The sequence below is a fragment of the Homo sapiens genome, chromosome 12 (assembly GCF_000001405.40).
Source record: "Homo sapiens chromosome 12, GRCh38.p14 Primary Assembly".
Taxonomy (NCBI): domain Eukaryota; kingdom Metazoa; phylum Chordata; class Mammalia; order Primates; family Hominidae; genus Homo; species Homo sapiens.
This window is the reverse complement of record NC_000012.12, coordinates 131,929,191-131,949,594: the sequence shown is the minus strand read 5'-3', so window position 1 is coordinate 131,949,594 and position 20,404 is coordinate 131,929,191. Positions and strand designations below refer to the sequence as shown.

At 51.2% G+C, this 20,404-nt stretch overlaps 1 protein-coding gene across 3 annotated transcripts, besides 4 other annotated features; it reads right to left on the bottom strand.

Moving 5' to 3' along the window:
- Positions 32-81: a silencer, noted in NCBI's record as "silent region_5108". NCBI's record gives its function as "represses an Ori minimal core promoter by ATAC-STARR-seq in GM12878 lymphoblastoid cells {active_cell/tissue: GM12878}" and the evidence as "EXISTENCE:reporter gene assay evidence [ECO:0000049][PMID:35858748]".
- Positions 3,699-20,319, bottom strand: PUS1 (pseudouridine synthase 1). 3 transcript variants are annotated; one of them, NM_025215.6, is made up of 6 exons: positions 19,799-20,319; positions 19,460-19,688; positions 17,283-17,420; positions 10,320-10,422; positions 7,612-8,303; positions 3,699-6,056 (listed from the first exon to the last, which is right to left on the bottom strand). In NM_025215.6, exons 1-6 carry the CDS (start codon positions 19,870-19,872, stop codon positions 6,009-6,011), a joined length of 1,284 nt encoding a protein of 427 aa, NP_079491.2. In that variant the 5' UTR covers positions 19,873-20,319; the 3' UTR covers positions 3,699-6,008. The 3 variants fall into 3 exon arrangements, with proteins under 3 accessions (NP_079491.2, NP_001002019.1, NP_001002020.1); NM_001002019.3 differs by having other exon boundaries at positions 20,191-20,319; NM_001002020.3 differs by having other exon boundaries at positions 20,215-20,319.
- Positions 4,697-4,991: a silencer, noted in NCBI's record as "tiled region #9670; HepG2 Repressive non-DNase unmatched - State 17:Gen3', and K562 Repressive non-DNase unmatched - State 14:Gen5'". NCBI's record gives its function as "represses a minimal TATA promoter and a strong SV40 promoter by Sharpr-MPRA in HepG2 and K562 cells {active_cell/tissue: HepG2 | K562}" and the evidence as "EXISTENCE:reporter gene assay evidence [ECO:0000049][PMID:27701403]".
- Positions 17,243-17,412: an enhancer, noted in NCBI's record as "experimental_25941 CRE fragment used in MPRA reporter constructs". NCBI's record gives its function as "activates a minimal promoter by MPRAs in K562 erythroleukemia cells, with activity observed for both the introgressed and non-introgressed 12:132416813 variant alleles {active_cell/tissue: K562}" and the evidence as "EXISTENCE:reporter gene assay evidence [ECO:0000049][PMID:34662402]".
- Positions 19,587-19,746: a silencer, noted in NCBI's record as "silent region_5107". NCBI's record gives its function as "represses an Ori minimal core promoter by ATAC-STARR-seq in GM12878 lymphoblastoid cells {active_cell/tissue: GM12878}" and the evidence as "EXISTENCE:reporter gene assay evidence [ECO:0000049][PMID:35858748]".

Sequence of the window (20,404 nt, the reverse complement as noted above, 5' to 3'; positions counted from 1 at the left end):
TGGGCCGCCAGCTCTCACACTCTGCAGATTCACCAAACAGACCAGGCTCACATGCAAGACCCAAACCCTGTGTGGCCCAGGCTGGCCTCGAACTCCTGGACTCCAGTGATCCTCCTGCCTCAGTCTCCCGAGTGGGTGGGACCACAGACTCGCGCCACCACCCCTGGTTAATTTTTTGTATTTTTAGTAGGGGGGTTGGTTCACCAAGTTGGCCAGGCTGGTCTCGAACGCCGGACCTCAAGTGATCCGCCCACCTCGGCCTCCCAAAGTGCTGGGATTACATGTGTGAGCCACCACGCCCGGCCAAAAACGACAAAACTCTATTAAAAGACACAGACGTAGCTCACGTCTATAATCCCAGCACTTTGGGAGGCCGAGGCGGGAAGATCATTTAAGGTCAGGAGTTCCAGACCAGCCGGGCCAACATAGTGAAACCCTGTCTCTATTAAAAATACAAAAAATTAGCTGGGCGTGGTGGCAGGCGCCTGTAATCCCAGTTACTCCGGAGGCTGAGGCAGGAGAATCGCTTGAACACGGGAGGCAGAGGTTGCAGTAAGCCGAGATCATGCCACTGCACTCCAGCCTGGGCAACAGAATGAGATTCTGTCTCCAGATAAAGACATAGGCATAAATCTTCGGGGTTGTGGGTTAGGAAATGGTTTCTTAGATATGACACTGAAAACGCAACTAACAAACATAGATATATTGGACATCATCACAATTTAAAACTTTTGTGCTGCAAATGACACCATTTAAAAAAGATAATCCACAGAACAGGAGAAATTACCTTAAGTCCATATGTCTGACATGGAACTCGTGTCCAAAGTAAATAATTTACAACATAACAATTAAAAGGGCAGGCACGGTGGCTGTTGCCTGTAATCCTAGCACTTTGGGAGGCTGAGGCAGTTGTATCCCTTGAGCCCAGGAGTTCAAGACTAGCCTGGGCAACATAGAGAGACCCCATCTCTACAAAAAATTTAAAAGTCAGTCATGGTGGCATACACCTGTAGTCTCAGCTACTCAGGAGACTGAGGGAGAATCACTTGAGCCCAGGGAGGCTGAGGGTGTAGGAAGCCGTGATTATGCCATAGCACTCCAGCCTGAGTGAGACTCTGTCCCTCCAGCCAGGGCAACAGAGCAAGACTCCATCTCAAAAAAAAAAAAAAAGAAAAGAAAAAGAAAGTAAATTAGTGGTTGTCAGGGACTGTGGGGAGAGGATAGGCAGTAACTGCAAATGAATGTGGGGTTTCCTTTTTGGGTTGATAAAAATGTCATAAAATGAGATAGTGTTGATGGTTACACAACTTTATAAATTTACTAAAAGTCACTGAATGATATACTTTAAAAGGGTGAATGTTATGGTATGTATGTGAATTATGTCTGCATTTATTTTTTAAAAAAGAAATGTGGGCTGTGAGGTAAAGTGATGAATGCTTAACTTTAAACACACTGAAAATTTTTGGCTGGGCACAGTGTCTCTTACCTGTAATCTCAGCACTTTGAGAGGCTGAGACAAGAGGATATTGAACACAGGAGTTCAAGGCCAGCCTGGGCCTCATCTCTACAAAAAATAAAAAATAAATAAACTGAAATTTTTAAAGAGAAAACAATTTGGCTATAAAAGGGAAGAGACAGAGGGAAGGTTGGAAGGGGATAAGATTAGGTGGATAACAGAGGGGAGTGATTTTGCATGTTGAAGTGCCGTGAGGCAGTAGACATGCTGACGGTACGAGAAAAGACAGAGTGAAAGTGCAAGGTCTGAGAAGGCAGGAGAAAGACAACGGGGAAACCATCGAGGGCATGGGCACTAGAGAGGGAGACCTCTTCCACTGCAAAGCAGGAAGTGCAAGCCTGGGGTGGGATTCAAGAGGATGGGGAGTGGCATTTCCTGGCCCCCATTCTCTCCTGGAGTGGGAGTGACCCACCTGCTGAGAGCATGGGACAGTGGTCACTGGGGTGAGGAGAATGGAGGCAATCGGATATGCCGGTGAGAAGACACTGACTTAGAGAAGTGTCATGGGACTGTCTGCCAGTAGAAACTCTGGGTGACTGTTGAAATGGCAGTGACAGTGGACACAGAGCACAGCACCAATCACATTCTCCCTCATCGTCATAAATGAGCATTAGAAGGCTGGCAGTTGATTGGGTGCAGTGGCTCATGCCTGTAATCCCAATACTTTGGAAGGCAGAGGTGGGCGAATCATTTGAGTTCAGGAGTTCAAGACCAGCCTGGCCAACATGGTGAAACGCAGGCTCTACTAAAAATACAAAAATTAGTTGGTCATGGTGCTGCCTGTAGTCCCAGCTATTCGGGAGGCTGAGCCACAAGAATCACTTGAGCCCAGGAGCTGGACGTTGCGGTGAGCTGAGATCGCAACACTGCGCTCCAGCCTGGGCGACAGAGCACCGCTATGAAAAAAAAAACCAAAAAAACCAAAAAAAAACAAGGCCAGCAGTTGGGTAAAAACCACGGCTAGGGGCTTTCATGCCAAGGCACCGTCTGAAGGAGGCACAGAATCCTGGAAGTGGTGGACTATGGAATCCAGGCAGGGGCAGCCAGGATGAAGCGGCTAAAGGAGAAGAGAGGAGAGGAGTTGGTGGTGTGAGGTGTTGATTCAGCCATTAGTGCAGGATTCAGGACACAAGTAACAGGTGGTGCTGCCCAGTGGCAACACGGAGCACCACGACACAACGGTTTCCATCCTCACTCACACTGAGAAAACCATACTGCAACTCCCCACCTTAGGACTTACTGCTTCATCCCCAGGCATGAAATACTGAGTCCAAGTAAGTGAAATGATGGGTTCAGCAAATTTTTCAGACTGGCTGTTCCAATGAGAAGCTATTAATTTTGGTGAAAATCAATTTATCACTTTTTTCTTTCACTTTTTGCATCTTAAGAAATCTTTGGGCCAGGTACAGTGGTTCACACCTATGATCCCAGCACACTGAAAAGCTGAGGCAGGAGGATCACTTGAGGCCAGGAGTTTGAGACCACCTGTGCAACATAGCAAGACCCTGTCTCTTAAAAAAAAATTTTTTTTTTTTTGAGACAGTCTCGCTCTGTCGCCCAGACTGGAGTGCAGTGGCACGATCTCGGCTCACTGCAACATCCACCTCCTGGGTTCAAGCGATTCTCCTGCCTCAGCCTCCCAAGCAGCTGGGATTACAGGCGCATGTCACCACGCCCAGCTAATTTTTTGTATTTTTAGTAGAGATGGGGTTTCACCGTGTTAGCCAGGATAGTCTCAATCTCCTGACCTCATGATCCGCCCACCTCGGCCTCCCAAAGTGCTGGGATTACAGGTGTGAGCCACCGCATCTGACCAGTTTTTTTTTTTTAAATTGGCCTGGCATGGTGGTGCGCCTGTAGTCCCAGTTGCTTGGGACGCCGGAGGATAGCTTGATCCCAGGAGGTGGAGGCTGTACTGAACTATGATCGCACCACTGCACTCCGGCCTGGGCGACAGAACAAGACCTTGTCTCAAAATAGAAAAAAAGAAGAAAGAAAAACCTTTTGGCTACCACAGAGCAGTGAAAACATTATCCCGTGTTTGCTGGAGATGCATTACCATCCTTGCAAAGGCTCACGCACGCTTATATATACATGGAACTCTCCAGAAGAAGCCGCAGGGCACTAGTGAGAGCAGTGGCCTCTGGACAGGGATACTGGGAATTAGAGAATGAAAGGCAACTTCCCTTTTTTATAGTTTTTTATTTCCTTCCATATATACATATTATTTTAAAATGTCACATACCCCAGGATCATCAAAAGTGATTTAAATGGGTCACCCAGGCCGGGCACGGTGGCTCACGCCTGTAATCCCAGCACTTTGGGAGGCCAAGGCGGGTGGATCACCTGAGCTTAGGAGTTTGAGACCAGCCTGACCAACATGGTGAAACCCTGTCTCTACCAAAAATACAAAAATCAGCCGGGCGTGGCAGCGGGCACCTGTACTCTCAGCTACTCTGGAGGCTGAGGAAGGAGAATCGCTTGAGCCCGGGAGGCGCAGGTTGCAGTGAGCCGAGATCGCGCCACTGCACTCCAGGCTGGGCAACACAGCGAGACTCCGTCTCAAACAAAATAAAAATAAAAAATAAAGTCCTGTCTATCCCAGGTAAAATTAACATGCTTAGAACCAAGCTCCTGCTTGTTCTCCAAACCCATTCCTTTCCCTGTCTCCCGTTCCAGTTAACGGCCCAGCTCATCCATCCCTCAAACCCAAAGCCCAGTGGGCCTCACACCTGCACTCCCTGGCTCCCGAAGCAGTGAGCCCCACTGCTCCTCTGGCCAAAATCCCTAAAACCAGCTCCACTCTCTTGGGCACCCCACGCCCTAGGAGCTCACTGCCTGAAGCATCTCCCAATCCCACCTGTCCTGCCCCACTTCTCACACACGGTGTCCACCGCATCATGGGCACGTGCACATGTCACTCACGCACTGCTGGGGCGACAGGCGACTGCGCATTAGTCACATGCATTGTTGGCACGTCAGGCGCATGCGCATTAGTTGTGTGCACCGCTGGGGCATCAGGCACTCGTGCATTGGTCACGTGCGCCCACGGGCTGCAGGCTGGGAGGCCACGTGTATGCACGGCACTTCCTCCGCTGAGCCCCTCCCTGGGCTCCTGGCAGCCCGCCAGCCAAGGATCCCCTGCTCCTGGCTAACGCAGTGTGTTTTGTTCCACGCTAAGCGCCACTTCAAAAGCAGTCTTCCCCAGCCTCCCTTGCAGCTACGAAGGGCCGCTGGATGCACCTGTGACCAATGACGTGCAGCAGCGGCTGGTGGGGTCTTCCAGTAAGCTCCACTAAGGGCCTGTTCCGCGATGCACCCTTTCCTTCTGCCCTCTGCCCCAACCCCCACCTGCCTGGCACCGGGACAGTGCTGAGGCGAGTACCGACCTGCAACCAGGGCAAAGGCTGCACGCATGGGGCTGTCTAGGAAGAGGAGCCCGTGGCTGCCACCCCTCTCGGGGATGCGGCAGGTCAGCGGGGCCCCTGCTTCAGTGCCCTCCACAGCCCTGCCTCGGGACCACCCTGCAGAGTGCAGGATGCTGGGTTTTTTTGTTGTTTTTTTTTTGACGGAGTTTGGCTCTCTCACCCAGGCTGGAGTGCAGTGGCGCAATCTTGGCTCACTGCAATCTCCACCTCCCAGGTTCAAGCGATTCTCCTGCCTCAGCCTCCCAAGTAGCTGGGATTACAGGCGCCCACCATCGCGCCCAGCTAATTTTTGTATTTTTAGTAGAGACGGGGTTTCTCCATGCTGGTCAGGCTGGTCTCAAACTCCCGACCTCAAGTAATCCACCTGCCTCAGCCTCCCGAAGTGTTGGGATTACAGGCATGAGCCACCACGCCTGGCCAGTTTTTTTGGTTGTTGTTGTTTTTTTTTTTTTTGAGTGCAGTGGCAATCAGGGCAGCCTCGACTTCTCCAGACTCAGGCAATCCTCCCACCTCAGCCTCCTGAGCAGCTGAACTACAGGGCATGCCGCCATGCCCAGCTAATCTTTTGCAGAGACGCGGTTTCACCATTTTACCCAGGCTGGTCTGGAACTCCTGTACTCAAGCGATCTGCCCACCTCAGCCTCCCAAGTGCTGGGATTACAGGCTGAGCCAACCTCCTGGGCCTTTCTCTTTTGTTCAGCCGTATCTGTTCTCAACGGGACACCATGCTGTGCTCATCTCTGTGGACGAAAAAAATGTTAAAAAAGACTAAGAAAAAGGCAAACCAAGGATTGACTAAGCAAAATTTGTACTTGTTTAATAAGAAAATCACTTCTTTAAAAAAATAGTTCTTTACATGCTGAGGTTCATCTATGCAATGCAAGAGCTGAAAACAGATTCGAGAAAGGCTGTTCCTACAAGGGAAGGTCCTGAGGTTACAACGCCGGCATGGCCGGGAAAACATGGCTGCAGCGATCCCAGCTTCTTGCTGCCCACAGGGGTGGCACATCTGGGCACACACTGTGAGCTGCTCAGAGGCACTCTGGTGGGCAGCTCCCATCGCCTCAGTCAGTGTCTCCGTCCCCTTCACTGCCTTCCAGGGGACTGGGCACCTGCAGAAGAAGACCACATGGAGAATAAGAGGCAAGCACTCTCTCCACTGCTCCTGGATGCCCACAGGGGCCCATGACAGGCTTGGCACAGGAGCCTTGCCCCCACCACTCCCTCATCAGGAGCAGAGTCTGGTGTTTGTTCTCGGTCATTCTCTTAACCAGGTCAGGAACCTGTGCAGGGAAAGCCAAGGGCTGGGGACACTAGAGGGGCCTTTGTTGGGCTCCTTCACATCCTCACAGGTCGCACTGACCACAGGGGAAAATAAAATGGGGCCATTTGGAAACTCAACAAATGCAGGTGCCTCGGAAGTATATATGCCTCTCATCAGTGGAGTCCACAGCAGTCCAGTCTGGCCCAGGCCAAATCAGCACCTGCGCTGTATTTAGCCTGCACCGGGCTTGGGAAAAATTAACTACCAGCACTTAAAAAAGAGATTTCCCATACCAGTATGCAACGCTGGTTTCCCTTGATAACATTTAAGCATACGGTCACTGTCACATTCCAACATGGCCACCACCAGCTGCCACTGAGCCACGAGTACCCCCTTCAGATGAAACGAGGCTCCTGGCCACCGCTGGCCCCCCAACTCCCTGCCGTCCCTGGGCTGGGGGCCTCTCATCGCCCCATCTATAGGACGGCTCGCCAGGTGCCTGGCCCCTCGCCTGCCCACCTTACCTCCCTGGGGCCTGCACACAGTTGAATCTGCCACCCAGGTATGCAGGAAGGACTCTCTTTTCACAGATATCTAGATGACAGGAAGAATCTCCCTGAGCCCTGCCTGGGAATGTCACCCTTTGAAACCTCACTGGGCCACCATGAAAGAACTCAGGCTGGCCGGACGCAGTGGCTCACGACTGTAATCCCAGCACTTTGGGAGGCCAAGGCGGGTGGATCACAAGGTCAGGAGATCAAGACCATCCTGGCTAACATGGTGAAACCCCATCTCTACTAAAAATACAAAAAATGAGCCGGGCGTGGTGGTGGGCGCCTGTAGTCCCAGCTACTCGGGAGGCTGAGGCAGGAGAATGGCGTGAACCCGGGAGGCGGAGCTTGCAGTGAGCCGAGATCGCGCCACTGCACTCCAGCCTGGGTGACAGAACAAGACTTCGTCTCAAACAACAAAAAAAAAAGAAAGAACAAACTCGGGCTTTGGGGACATCTCTCACCCCAGAGCGAAGAACTGAGAATGACATTTTCATTCACTTAGCTTTTAGCTTCTGCACCTACAATCCTGTATGTTCCGGTTCTAAGCTACATTCCGCAGCTGTCTAGCTGCTGATTATGCTCCATGCCAGGTCCATAGTAGGTGTGCTGGCAGCAAGCCTGACCCTGGGACAGCCCTCCCAGGGTCGAAAAGCACCCCGTGGGGGAGCAAGTGGGTGGCGCAGGCATGCAGACAAGGAACATCTCAAGACCGCCTGCCCCTGCTCCTGCAGCAGCTGTGTGGCCTTGCGGGGAAGTGACACACTTCTCTGTGCCTCAGCTCACTCCTCTGTACAATGGGAACAATGTGGGCCTGTGTTCTGCTGAGCACTGCTGGGACTGTGCCCCTACCTTGGCGCCCGTGCCACCTGCCGTGAGAGCGGTGGCACTGAAGTTGTGGATGGGCAAGGTGCTCAGCCACTGGGCCATGGAGCGTTCGTCCCGCTCGGTGCCGATGATGGTGGGGTAGATGTGCTCCTCCTTGAAGGCTGCGACCTTTCCTTCCTCCTGCGCCCAGTCCAGCGGCTCATGCAGCCCATCGTTGCCAAAGCGCTGGTTGTACTTCTCGAAGTGCACCCTCTCCAGGACCAGGCCGAGTCCGGGCGCCTTGGGCACGTCCACCTTCTCTGTGCCCCAGCTGCGCTCCAGCACGCTCTCAGGGGCATAACCCTTCACAATGGCCACCACCAGGCCGACCATCTTCCGGATCTGATGCATCATGAAGCTCTGGCCCTTCACCCTGATCACCGCAAACTCCAGGCCCTCCCGCACAAAGGGTTCCTCGCAGTACATCTCCAGGATGTAGCGGCAGGCACTGGGATCCTGCGGCCCCTTCTGCGAGGTGAAATTGTGGAAGTTGTGCGTGCCCTTGTAGCAGGCCAGGAGCCTGTTGACCTGCTGCAGCGTCTCGGCGCTCAGGCGGTAGGTCTCATCCTGAACGTCCCGGTCCTTGTGCGCAAAGGCAAACGTGGGCAGCAGGTAGCAATAGGTCCTGGCATCACATCTGTTCTTGGAGTTAAACCCGCCCGTGACCCGCTTCAGTCCTAGGGGGGAGGTGGTCAGGGAGGAGAAAGGCAGGTGAGAAGTGCCTGGATGACCAGGGAGCAGCCTGAGCACGGCGTGAGCCCCAGCGTCTCCTTACCCAGAGCACCGACCAAGCTCCAGCAAGCATCGGCTTCTCTGGGGAGGGGGCAGCCACAGGCTGGGGAACAGGCACAGGAGGACGATGGACAGGAGGGACAGGTGCAGTGCTCTATAAGGTGACTGAATTTACAACCATTTATTGTAATTTTCCAATAGTGAGAAGATACGGAATGTCTCCAACACAAAGAAATGATACATGCTTGGAGTGATGGATATATTATGCTAATTGCCCTATTTGATCTTTATACATGACTGGAAATATCACACATAATTCTACATAAGTATGTATAATTATGTGTGAATTTAAAATAATAAAAGCAGCCGGGCGCAGTGGCTCATGCCTGTAATCCCAGCACTTTGGGAGGCCGAGGTGGGTGGATCACCTGAGGTCAGGAGTTTGAGACTAACATGGTGAAACACCATCTCTACTAAAAATACAAAAATTAGCTGGGCGTGGTGGCGTGTACCTGTAATCCCAGCTACTGGGAAGGCTGAGGTGGGAGAATCACTTGAACCCAGGAGGCAGGTGGAGGTTGCAGTGAGCCGAGATCACGCCACTGCACTCCAGCCTGGGCAACAGAACAAGACTCCATCATAAAAAATATAAAAATAAAAACAAAAACTTAACAGTGGGTAAAATCAACAGGGATTACTGAATCCTATTTATGACTCATATGTAAATGTTCTTAGTGGCTTTACTTCTAACAGCCCAAAACTAGAAATCATCCAATGTCCTTCAGCAGGTAACTGTATAAACAATCCGTGGCACACCCACAGAACAGAACACCCCGCAGCAATGAGAAGGAACAGACTGCTGACATACACAACAGCACGGATGAATCTTAAAATAATCAGGCTGTGGGCTGGGCATAGCAGCTCATGCCTGTAATGCCAACACTTTGGGAGGCTGAGGCAGGTAAACTGATTGAGCCTAGGAGTTTGAGACCAGCCTGGGCGACATGGCGAAACCCCATCTCTACAAATAAAAATAAAAATTCAGCCGGCTGTGGTGGCGTGTGCCTGTAGTCCCAGCTTATAGGCTGAGGCGGGAGGATCCCTTGAGCCCAGGTGGTCGATGCTACAGTGAGCTGTGATCACACCACTGCACTCCAGCCTCGGCAACAGAACAAGACCCTGTCTCAAACACTTCTCTCCAAGCAGACCAGTCAGGCAGACAACAGTTCTGTTTTCTTGGGATGACACCAAAACAAAAAGGAAAAGAAAACAGAGAGCAAGACGACAGATTCACGCCCAGCCACACCTATCATTACATTAAATATAAGCGGCTTCTGGGAGGCCAAGGCAGGAGGATCACTTGAGCCCAGGAGTTCAAGACCAGCCTGGGCAACACAATGAGACCCCATCTCTACAAACTCAAAAATGAAGTGTGGTGGCACACACCTGTAGTCCCAGTTACTCAGGAGGCTGAGGACTGCTTGAACCCGGGAGGCGGAGGCTGCAGTGAGCCATGATTGCACCACTGCACTCCAGCCTGGGTGACAGAGCGAGACTCTCTCAAAAAACAAACAGAATAAATGAATGAACGAATGTATTATGTAAGTTGCCTGTACCTGCCACTTAAAAGGTAGACAGTCACATTTTAAGGAGGCCTAAAAATTCCATTTACCAGTCCTGCCGTAAGAGGGAACAACTGTTCATTTTAACCATGAATTTGGATTTTCACATCCTGTGTTTGCTTAAAACAAGGCGCCCGTGTAGCAACAAGCACTGCAAATGAACAGCTTTCTACTCCTGTCTAGTGGCTCCCGTTTCTGAAGGTCAGAACCAGCTGCAAAGCAACTCTGACTACGCTTCTGCATCAGAGACAGTTGGAAAAGGCAGGAGCATGCATAGCCTCGTGTCTCTGCAAGACCATCTACAACCAGGTGTGTGGCCGCCTGCACTGCAAGGCTTACCCAGAATCCGAATGTGAGAGGGAAGGTGGCTGTTGATCTTTTCTAGAATGTCGTCAATCAGCCACACCTTCAGGGATACCACCTGGCCGGCTGCGGACACACCCTGTAAACAAAGCAGAACGGGTGACGGAAGGTGGGTCCCTTGGGCCTCGCACGCTGGTCTCTGAGAAAGAAGGACTACGCGGACCTTACGTCATTTCACACATGAATTCAGCTGTTAAAAATGCATCTGGAGGGCCGGGCATAGTGGCTCACGCCTGTAATCCCAGTACTTTGGGAGGCCGAGGCGGGTGGATCACGAGGTCAGGAGATCGAGACTATCCTGGCTAACATGAAATGTTAGTCTCTACTAAATGTATTGTTAGTCTCTACTAAAAATACAAAAAATTAGCCGGGCATGGTGACAGGCGCCTGTAGTCCCAGCTACTTGGGAGGCTGAGGCAGGAGAATGGCGTGAACCCGGGAGGCGGAGCTTCCAGTGAGCTGAGATCGTGCCACTGCACTCCAGCCTGGGTGACAGAGCCAGACTCCACCTCAAAGGAAAAAAAAAAAAAAAAAAGATATGAAAATATGACTCCCAAAGATTGGGGAAAAGAGAAAACACAACTTAGAACCAAGAGCAGAGTGAGGAAGGGGTCCCCACCTGAGTCAGAACTGCAGTGGCCCTGGAGGAAAGGGAGGGGCCTTCTGAGGACAGGCAGTGCGTACACAGGTAGGTACACAGATAAAAACTGATCAAGTTTACACTTAAGACTCGCACACTTTACTGTTTGTTTATTTCACCTCTTTTTAAAAGTAAGTTTCTATAGATTTTTTGTTGGGTTCTTTTTGAGACAAGGTTTTGGTCTGTCACCCAGGTTGGAGTGCAGTGGTGCCGATCTTGGCTTACAGCAACCTTGACCTCCCAGGTTTGAGCAATCCTCCCACCCCAGCCTCCCAAGTAGCTGAGACTACAGACAGGCACCACGATGCCTGGCTAGTTTTCAATTTTTTTTGTAGAGACAGGGTCTTGCTATGTTGCCCAGACTGGTCTCGAACTCCTGGCCTCAAGTGATCCTCCCACCTCAGTCTCATAAAGTGCTGGGATTACAGGTGTAAGCAACGATGCCCGGCCAAGGAGATCGTTTTCGATTAAAGGAAGCTCAAGAGACATGACAACTGAATGCCACTAATGATCCTAGATTAGATCCCAGACCAGTTAACAAAAATAAAAGGCATGCCACATCAAAGAAGCTGAAGAAAAGAAAAAGAAAACAGAAAAGAGAGTTTCCTACTTTGGACATGTTAGATGATGGTACTCTATCAGGTTGATAGAGTGAGGTTGCTGAAGGATGTCACAGTCCCTTGGAGACTCATGCTAAGATGTTTCAGGGTAAAGGATGATGATGTCTCCAACTTACTCTCAAATGGTTCCATTTTAAGATAGAAAAGGCCAAGCACAGTGGCTCTCATTCATAATCCCAGTACTTTGGGAGGCTAAGGTAGGAAGATTGCTTGAGCCCAAGAGTTCAAGACCAGCCTGGGCAACAGAGCAAGACTCTGTCTCAAAAAAGGTAAAAAAAAGATAAATAAAAAGAAAGCAAAAACAAACAAAAAAACGGGCGGAGTGCGGTGGTTCATGCCTGTAATCCCAGCACTTTGGGAAGCCGGGGCAGGCGGATCGCCTGAAGTCGGGAGTTCGAGACTAGCCTTACCAACATGGTGAAATCCCATTTTTACTAAAAATACAAAAAATTAGCTGGGAGTGGTGGCAGGTGCCTGTAATCCCAGCTACTCGGGAGGCTGAGGCAGGAGAATCACTTGAACCCGGGAGGTGGAGGTTGCAGTGAGTTGAGATCGTGCAATTGCACTCCAACCTGGGCAACAAGAGTGAAACTCCATCTCAAAAAATAAAATAAAATGAATTTTTAAAAAAACCACACACAACTATGATAATATGGTAAAAACCTAACCTTGGTGAATCTGGGAAGACTATGTGGGTGCTCATGGCACCCACATAAGAATCATGTGGCATTATTAAGAATCATGGCATTATTCTTAAGACTTTTATGAAGGTATGAAATTTTCAAAATAAAAAGTTGGAAAGAGTAAAATAAACTGTTGAGATGTTACACTGGCCAGATCCACACATGGAACGTGGCAGAATGAAACGAGATGTTCTGAAACAAGATGACTTTAGGTAAATATACAACAGATTTCAAAGACTTAGCACCAAAAAAGGGAAAGAAAATACATCTCATTGCCAACCACTCTGTAGAAGCTGAAGTGAGAACACTCGAGACATCCTGGGGGGTCAACAGCTGAGGGACACCTGGTACCTCTGGGGTGTCCTATGTCTGGCTGTGGTGATGGCTGCACAGCTCTGTGAATATACTGGAATCACTAAACTGTATACTTTTTTTTTTTTTTGCCAGGCTGGAGCTCAGTGACGCAACCTCGACTCCCTGCCACCTTCGTCTTCTGTATTCAAGAGATTCTCCTGCCTCAGCCTCCCAGGTAGCTGGGATTACAGGTGTAAGCCACCATGCCTTGCTAATTTTTGTATCTTTAGTAGAGATGGGATTTTGTCATGTTGGCCAGGCTGGTCTCGAACTCCTGGCCTCAAGTGATCCGTCCACTTTGGCCTCCCAAAGTGTTGGGATTACAGGCGTGAGCCACCACACCCAGCTTGAACCGCACACTTTTTGTTTCTTTTGTTTTGTTTTGTTTTTTGAGACGGAGTTTCACTCTTGTTGCCCAGGCTGGAGTACAATGGCACGATCTCAGCTCACTGCAACCTCCACCTCTCGGATTCAAACGATTCTCCTGCCTCAGCCTACTGAGTAGCTGGGATTACAGGCGTGCACCACCACACCTGGCTAATTTTTGTATTTTTAGTAGAGACGGGGTTTCGCCATATTGACCAGGCTGGTCTTGAACTCCTGACCTCAGGTGATCCGCCCACCTCGGCCTCCCACAGTGCTGGGATTCCAGGCTAAGCCCCCGCGCCCAGCCCGAACTGTACACTTTCAATGGGTCAATTGTACAAGAGTGAATTATATTTCCTTTTTTGCTTTTTTTTTTTTGAGATGGAGTCTCACTCTGTCACCCGGGCTGCAGTGCAGTGGCACCATCTCAGCTTACTTCAACCTCCGCCTCCCAGGTTCACGCAATTCTCCTGCCTCGGCCTCCTGAGTAGCTGGGATTACAGGCATCCACCAACACACCCGGCTAATTTTTGTATCTTTAGTAGAGACGGGGTTTCACCATGTTGGCCAGACTGGTCTTGAATTCCTGACCTCAAGTGATCCGCCCGCCTTGGACTCCCAAAGTGCTGGAATTACAGGCGTGAGCCACCACGCCCGTCCAAAAGTGAATTATATTTCAATAAAGCTATTTTTAAAATCTGAAACAAAAACAGAATGTTAAACAGCAGAAATACACACACACAAAAATAAACAATAGGCCGGGCACGGGGGCTCACACCTGTAATCCCAGCACTTTGGGAGGCCGAGGCAGGCAGATCACCTAAGGTCAGGAGTTCGAGACCAGCCTGATCAACATGGAGAAACCCCATCTCTACTAAAAATACAAAATCAGCCGGGCGTGGTGACGCATGCCTGTATTCCCAGCTACTCGGGAGGCTGAGGCAGGAGAATGGCTCGAACCCAGGAGGTGAGGTTGCGGTGAGCCAAGATCACGCCATTGCACTCCAGCCTGGGCAACAAGAGTGAAACTCCGTCTCAAAAATAAATGAATAAATAAATAACAAAAATGTTAAACTGTTACTGTGTTTTCATCTGAAGGGCAGGGCACTCGGGTGTGACCGTGCCGGCCTAATGGATTTACTTCTGCAGGTTTCCCCATACAAGTGAGAAAACGTATTAGAATGAAACCATCTCTCTAATAACAGCAGAAATAAAAATAAATACAAGGACCCTATTTTGAAATGCTCTCTTCATCAGCTTGGACAAATTGTTACTTTTCTTCCCTGAAAACAACCAGAGAGCTGTAAATGGAAGAATCAAAAAGAAAATGAAAATAGTTAAGACCCACAGAACTCTCTACCTTGAGCCACAGATGCATCACCCCCACCCACTAGGAGTGAACTTGTGGATCCCTCTTTGTGTTCTCACCCACTAGGAGTGAACTTGTGGATCCCTCTTTGTGTTCTCACCCACTAGGAGTGAACTTGTGGATCCCTCTTTGTGTTCTCACCCACTAGGAGTGAACTTGTGGATCCCTCTTTGTGTTCTCACCCACTAGGAGTGAACTTGTGGATCCCTCTTTGTGTTCTCCCCTCTGTACGACGGCTCCAGAATGCATCCATGGATCCCCAGGGATCTGTGTGCCTTTTGAAACTAGGCATTTGTGGGAAAAAGAGCCATAGCTTTATTCAGATTCCCGGAGGATCCTGACCGGCAAAAAGTTATGTCTCTGATAGGCCCCTAATGCCTTCAGGCAGCCTGAGAGCCATGTGACAGAGCCAGGCACTCGGAAGAGCAAGGATGACAGGTATCACGTTCACTGATGCCTCATACGTGCTACAGAAAAGCTATCTGTTCTCTCCGGCTCTGCTGTCCCCGTCTGCCAAACGTTGGGTTGTGGGCGGTAAGCCACCCAGGTGCCGAGGCAAGAGACTGAAGGCACGAGCTGTTCCAGTGTAATAAAGAAAATAATTAGAGTAAGAAAAGTTATACTAGAAATAGGATATAGATATAATTATATACCAATATTATCAATCATTAGTTTGTAGTATTACTCTTTACTATTATAATAATCTCTGTTCTATAATTATAACCTAGGAAAAATCAGGCCATAGAGTCAGGAGCTGAAGGACACTGTGAGAGGTGACCAGAAGACAAGGGTGTGAGCCCCCTGTCACGCCCAGATAAGGGTCGCTTGAAGGCTCCCCGGACTACTGGTAGCGCCAGTGCCTGGGAAGGCACCTGTTACTTCACAGACCGGCAAAGGGAGTCTCCCTCTCCCCAGGGTAGTCAGAGAACACTCTGCTCCACCACCTCTTGTGGGAGGCCTGACATTACCCAGGCCTGCCCGCAGTCATCAGCGGGCTTAAACAGCTCCCTGTGGTGCTTCAACGGTCACGCTCCTTGTCCACTTTCATGCTCCACCTGCACACCTGGCTCCTGCTTTTCAGTTCTTAGAAGATAGCAGTAGCACAATTAGTGAAAGTATTAAAGTCTTTGATCTTTCTGATAAGTGCATAGAAGAAATGCTGACGTATGCTGTCCTTCCTCTCCGCCTCACCTACCACAAAGGGAAAGGACCCCTGTCCGGTGGACATGTCACTCGCGTGACCTTATCAATCACTTGAGATGACACACGCTCCTTACCCTGTCCCCTTGCCTTGTATACAATAAATAGCAGTGCGTCCAGGCATTTGGGGCCACTATCAGGTTCGGCCCATTGGTGGTAGTGGTCCCCTGGACCCAGCTGTCTTTCCTTCTATCTCTTTGTCTCGTATCTTTATTTTTCTACGATCTCTTGTCTCCGCACATGAAGAGAAAACCCACAGGCCCTGTAGGGCTGGACCCTACACTGGGTCCCTCCTTAGAGACATCCCCATTCCCTGTGGCGGGCCACTCTGTGCACACCCAATCCCATGGTTCAGTCCCAAGCACAGGAATGTGGCGTCACAGGACCACTTGGCATGTGCTTCCACACAGGCCAGCAGCAGCGTCCAGGGTGGACGTGAAAACCAATCGCAAACAGGAGTACTCAGCCTTGTGGTTCTGAAGGAACAGTGCTGGGTCACCAGCCCCATGCAGCTGAGACCACAAAACAGGTCCAGGGTGGTGGATTTGTGATGAGTGTGGACTTAGCATACACACAAAAACAGTATTACATTTATCCCATGAAGAGATTTTTATATGGATTACACGCCGAAATGAGGATATCCTGAATATACTCAGTTTATAATACAGTGAATTATTTATTAATTTCAAGCCAGATGTGGCGGTTCATGCCTGTAAATCCCAGTACTTTGGGACGCCAAGGTGGGAAGATGACTGGAGCCCAGGAGTTTGAGACCCCTGAGCAACACAGCAAGACCCCATATTAAAAAAAAAAAAAAAAAAAAATTTAGCCAGGCATGGTGGAGTGCCTGTCATTCCAGTGATACGGTTTTGCTGTGTCCCCGCCAAATCTCATGTTGAAGGTAATCCCCAAGTGTCTAGGGAAGACCTGGTGGGAGGTGACTGGATCATGGGCCCGGCTTCCCCCATGCTGTTCTCGTGATAGTGAGTGAGTTCTCCCAAGATCTGATGGTTTACAAGGGGCTCTTCCCCTTACCCTCCTCACTCTCTCGCACCTGCCGCCATGATCTGTTTCCTGAGGCCTCCCCAGCCATGTGGAACTGAGTCAATTCAACCTCTTTTCTTTATAAACTGCCCAATCTTGAGCAGTTCTTTATAACAGTGTGACAACAGACTAATACACCCACCTACTCGGGAGGCTGAGGCAGGAGGATTGCTTGAGCCCAGCAGTTTGAGACTGCAGTGAGCCATGATCATGCCACTGCACTCCAGCCTGGGCAACAGAATGAGATCCTGACTCTAAAAAAGGAAAGAAAAGAGAATGTTGCATCATACAAGTGTGGCTCTCTGCCTTTGCAGCCACACAATTACATCTGCCTCAGAGTGAGCCTGATTGGAGGGTCGAAAGCAGACATTGCGGCCGCCACTGTGCCACCTGCAAGAATGTGTGTCCCTGAGAACAGAATCAACACAAGAGAAAGCAAAGACCAGAGAGAACACAGAGTCCCACTGGCAGGGAGCATCTAGATCCAGCTATACCTGAGCCGACCAGGCTCCTGGACGTCTCACCTACATAAGGCGTAGGCTAGTTTGATTTGTACATCATTATGTGCTCAGAAACAGCATAACAAGCCAGAACACTGAGCTGGAAAGTGGGCCACGTGCTGCTCATAGCAGCGGGGGAGGGGCAGAGAAGGCCACCACCCACCTTGTCTGTCCGGGCGCAGCGCTGGAAGGACATTTTCCTCATGTCCTCACCATGATTTTCAGGAATACAGCCTGACCGGACGAGGGCGGACACCAAGTCATCTTCAATTGTTTTGAATTGTGAGGACCCGACATTCCTCTGGAAAAAGGAGACAAAAACAGATTTTATATTTTGCAGACAGAGGTCGCCATGATGTTGCCCAGGCTGGTCTCGAACTCCTGGCCGCTTACTCCTCTGGCCTCCTGAAGTGCTGAGATTACAAGTGTGAGCTGCCACGCTCATGTGAAAACACTGTTTTCTGCTCACTCACCCTGGGGCCGGGCTGCTCCATGCTAGGGGGTGGGTAGTGTGGAATGGAATCAAAACACAGGTTTGATTGAACCTGTGCATACACCTACTTCCACAATCTGTCAGTTACAAAATCAGTGCCGTGGGTGCTACCTATACTTTAAAAAAAAAACATTGACTATAAAGTAATCTATGGCCAGGTGCAGTGGCTCACACCTGTAATCCCAGCACTTTGGGAGGCCGAGGAGGGTGGATCACTTGAGATCAGGAGTTCGAGACCAGTCTGGCCAACATGGTGAAACTCTGTCTCTACTAAAAATACAAAAATTAGCCGGGCGTGGTGCCGGGCTCTTGAGGCAGGAGAATCGCTTGAACCTGGGAAGTGGAGGTTGCAGTGAACTGATAATGTACCACTGCACTCCAGCCTAGGTGACAGAGGAAAACTCTGTCTCAAAAATAAATAAATAAATAAATAATTAGGTATGCTTTTAATCCCAGTGACTCAGGAGGCTGAGGCAGGAGAATTGCTTGAATCTGGGAGGCAGAGGTTGCAGTGCACAGTGGTTGGCCGGGCTCTGTGGCTCACCCCTGTAATTCCAGCACTTTGGGAGACGGAGACAGGAGGATACTCTGAGGTCAGGAGTTCAAGGCCAGCCTGACCAACATGGTGAAACCCCGTCTCTACTAAAAATACAAAAACTAGATGGGCGTGGTGGCGAGCGCCTGTAGTCCCAGCTACTCGGGAGGCTGAGGCACAAGAATCGGTGGAACCCGGGAGGCGGAGGCTGCAGTAAGCCAAAATCCCACCACTGCACTCCAGCCTGGGCGACAGAGCAAGACTCTGTCTCCAAAAAAAAAGCAATCTATTACTTATAACTTTCACCATAAAAGCTGTTATAACAACTGCCGAAGTTAAGCATTATTTTCTTAAACTTTTGTTTCAGTCAGACACTGCACGCACTGCATGAACTTCTGTGGAAATGTTTAAAGATGTTTAAAGAACACAGAACTGCGCAAAGCCACAGTGGTAACTACAAAAAGGAACAAAAGGAATGTCTACCTGAGGCCAGTCGCAGTGGCTCATGCCTGTAATCACAACACAGGAAGGCCGAGGCAGGAGGATCGCTTGAGCCCAGGAGTTGGAGAGCAGCCTGGGCAACACAGCGAGACCCCATTCCTATAAATAATAAAAAACTTAGCAAGACACCATTCCTGCAAATTATAAAAAAAATTATTCAGGCCGTGAGGTCAAGGACACTTACAGCCCTCGATGTTCGGGAGGCTGAGGTGGGAGGATCTCTTGAGCCCAGGAGGTGGAGGCTGCAGCGAGCAGTGTGGATGCACCACTGCATTCCAGCCTGGACCACAAAGGGAGACCACGCCTCAAAAAGAAAAAAAAATACACCTACCTGAATGTACCCAGACCCTCTACCTTCCAGAAAAGGAAGTGGGCTGAGGAGAGAATCCTCACAACTTTAATACTTAGCTCTCTGTCCCCTTAACGCTCACGACAGCAGGCTCTTCTGAGCTGCCCCGAGCTGTCCACTGTTCTCAGCACCGAGCGTCAGTACACCTAGCTCATCTTCACACTCTACTTAGCAGGTGCTGTGAGCACTCCCATCCTAAAGATGAGGACTCAGGCACCCAGCAAGTGAACCCCGCCCCAGATAACAGCGGTTAGCGGCAGGGCCGGGCCTGATGGAAAGCAGCAGGAGCTCGCGTGCAGCAGGAGCAGTGAAAGCTGCTTGGGCCTGCACCTAAATCCTGCCGGACCCGCCGCTACCTGGGCGACCGCTCCTGCACCTAAACCCAGCCGGACCCACCGCTTCCCCGGCGGCCGCACCTGCACCTAAACCCCGCGGGACCTGCCGCTTCCCGGGCGGCCACACCTGCATGCCGTGGTAGCCCTTGCCCGAATAGGCCATGAGCAGCACGATCTTCCGCTTGGGCGGCTTCTCGCGCCGCTCCTCGTCGCCACCGCTCTTGAGCTTCTTCGCCGGATGTTCTCCGTCCTCCCAGACGCGGTCGCCCCCGGCCCGGCCGCTGCAGGACCTCCGGTCCTGGGGGCATGCGGCTCCGGCGGGCGGCGGCTCCGCGTTCCCGGCCATGCGCGGCGAGCTGCGGAGAAGGGCGGCGTGAGCGGGGGCCCGCTCGGCACCGCGCGGGGTGGACTGGGGTGGGCTGGGCTGGGCGGGCATAGCGGGGTCGCCCGGCGTCGCGGTCATTACCAGGACGGACGCGGTCCCAGGCGCAGGGTCCACCGTCCGAAGGCTCCCAACAGCGCGCGAAGCTGGAGGCCCATGCGCAGGCTACCAGTGCACCCGACCCCGCCCTGATCCCCGACCCCTGACCCCCAGTGCCCCAGCTCCGCCTCTGCCGACCCCTAACCTCTCGGACCCTGACGCTGCAGCCCTGTTCCTTCTGACCCCTGACCTCCGGGAAACCGGCGCCCCAGCCCCTCTCCAGCTGACCCCTGACCTCTCGGACCTGGACGCCCCAGCCTCACTCCTGCTGACCCCTGACCTCTCAGGCCCCGCGCCCAAGCCCCGTCTCTACTGCCCCCAGACCGCCCCGGGACCCTGACGGATCAACTCCAACGTCCCCTGACGCCCAGGTTAACCTCTGACTTCCCCAGCCTCTTCACCTCCCGCCCCGCCCGGTGGGCTTTCCTCAGGAGTCGAGGAGACCCGGGCCACCCGCGTCGGGACCAGAGAGGCTCGCTCCTGCCCCATTCGCGACGCGGCTGACTGAGCCGGAGCCGGACCACGTGGGCGAAGGCGGAAGTGGAACGACCGACTGCACGGCGGCCGAGCGCGGACAAAACTAATTCGGGA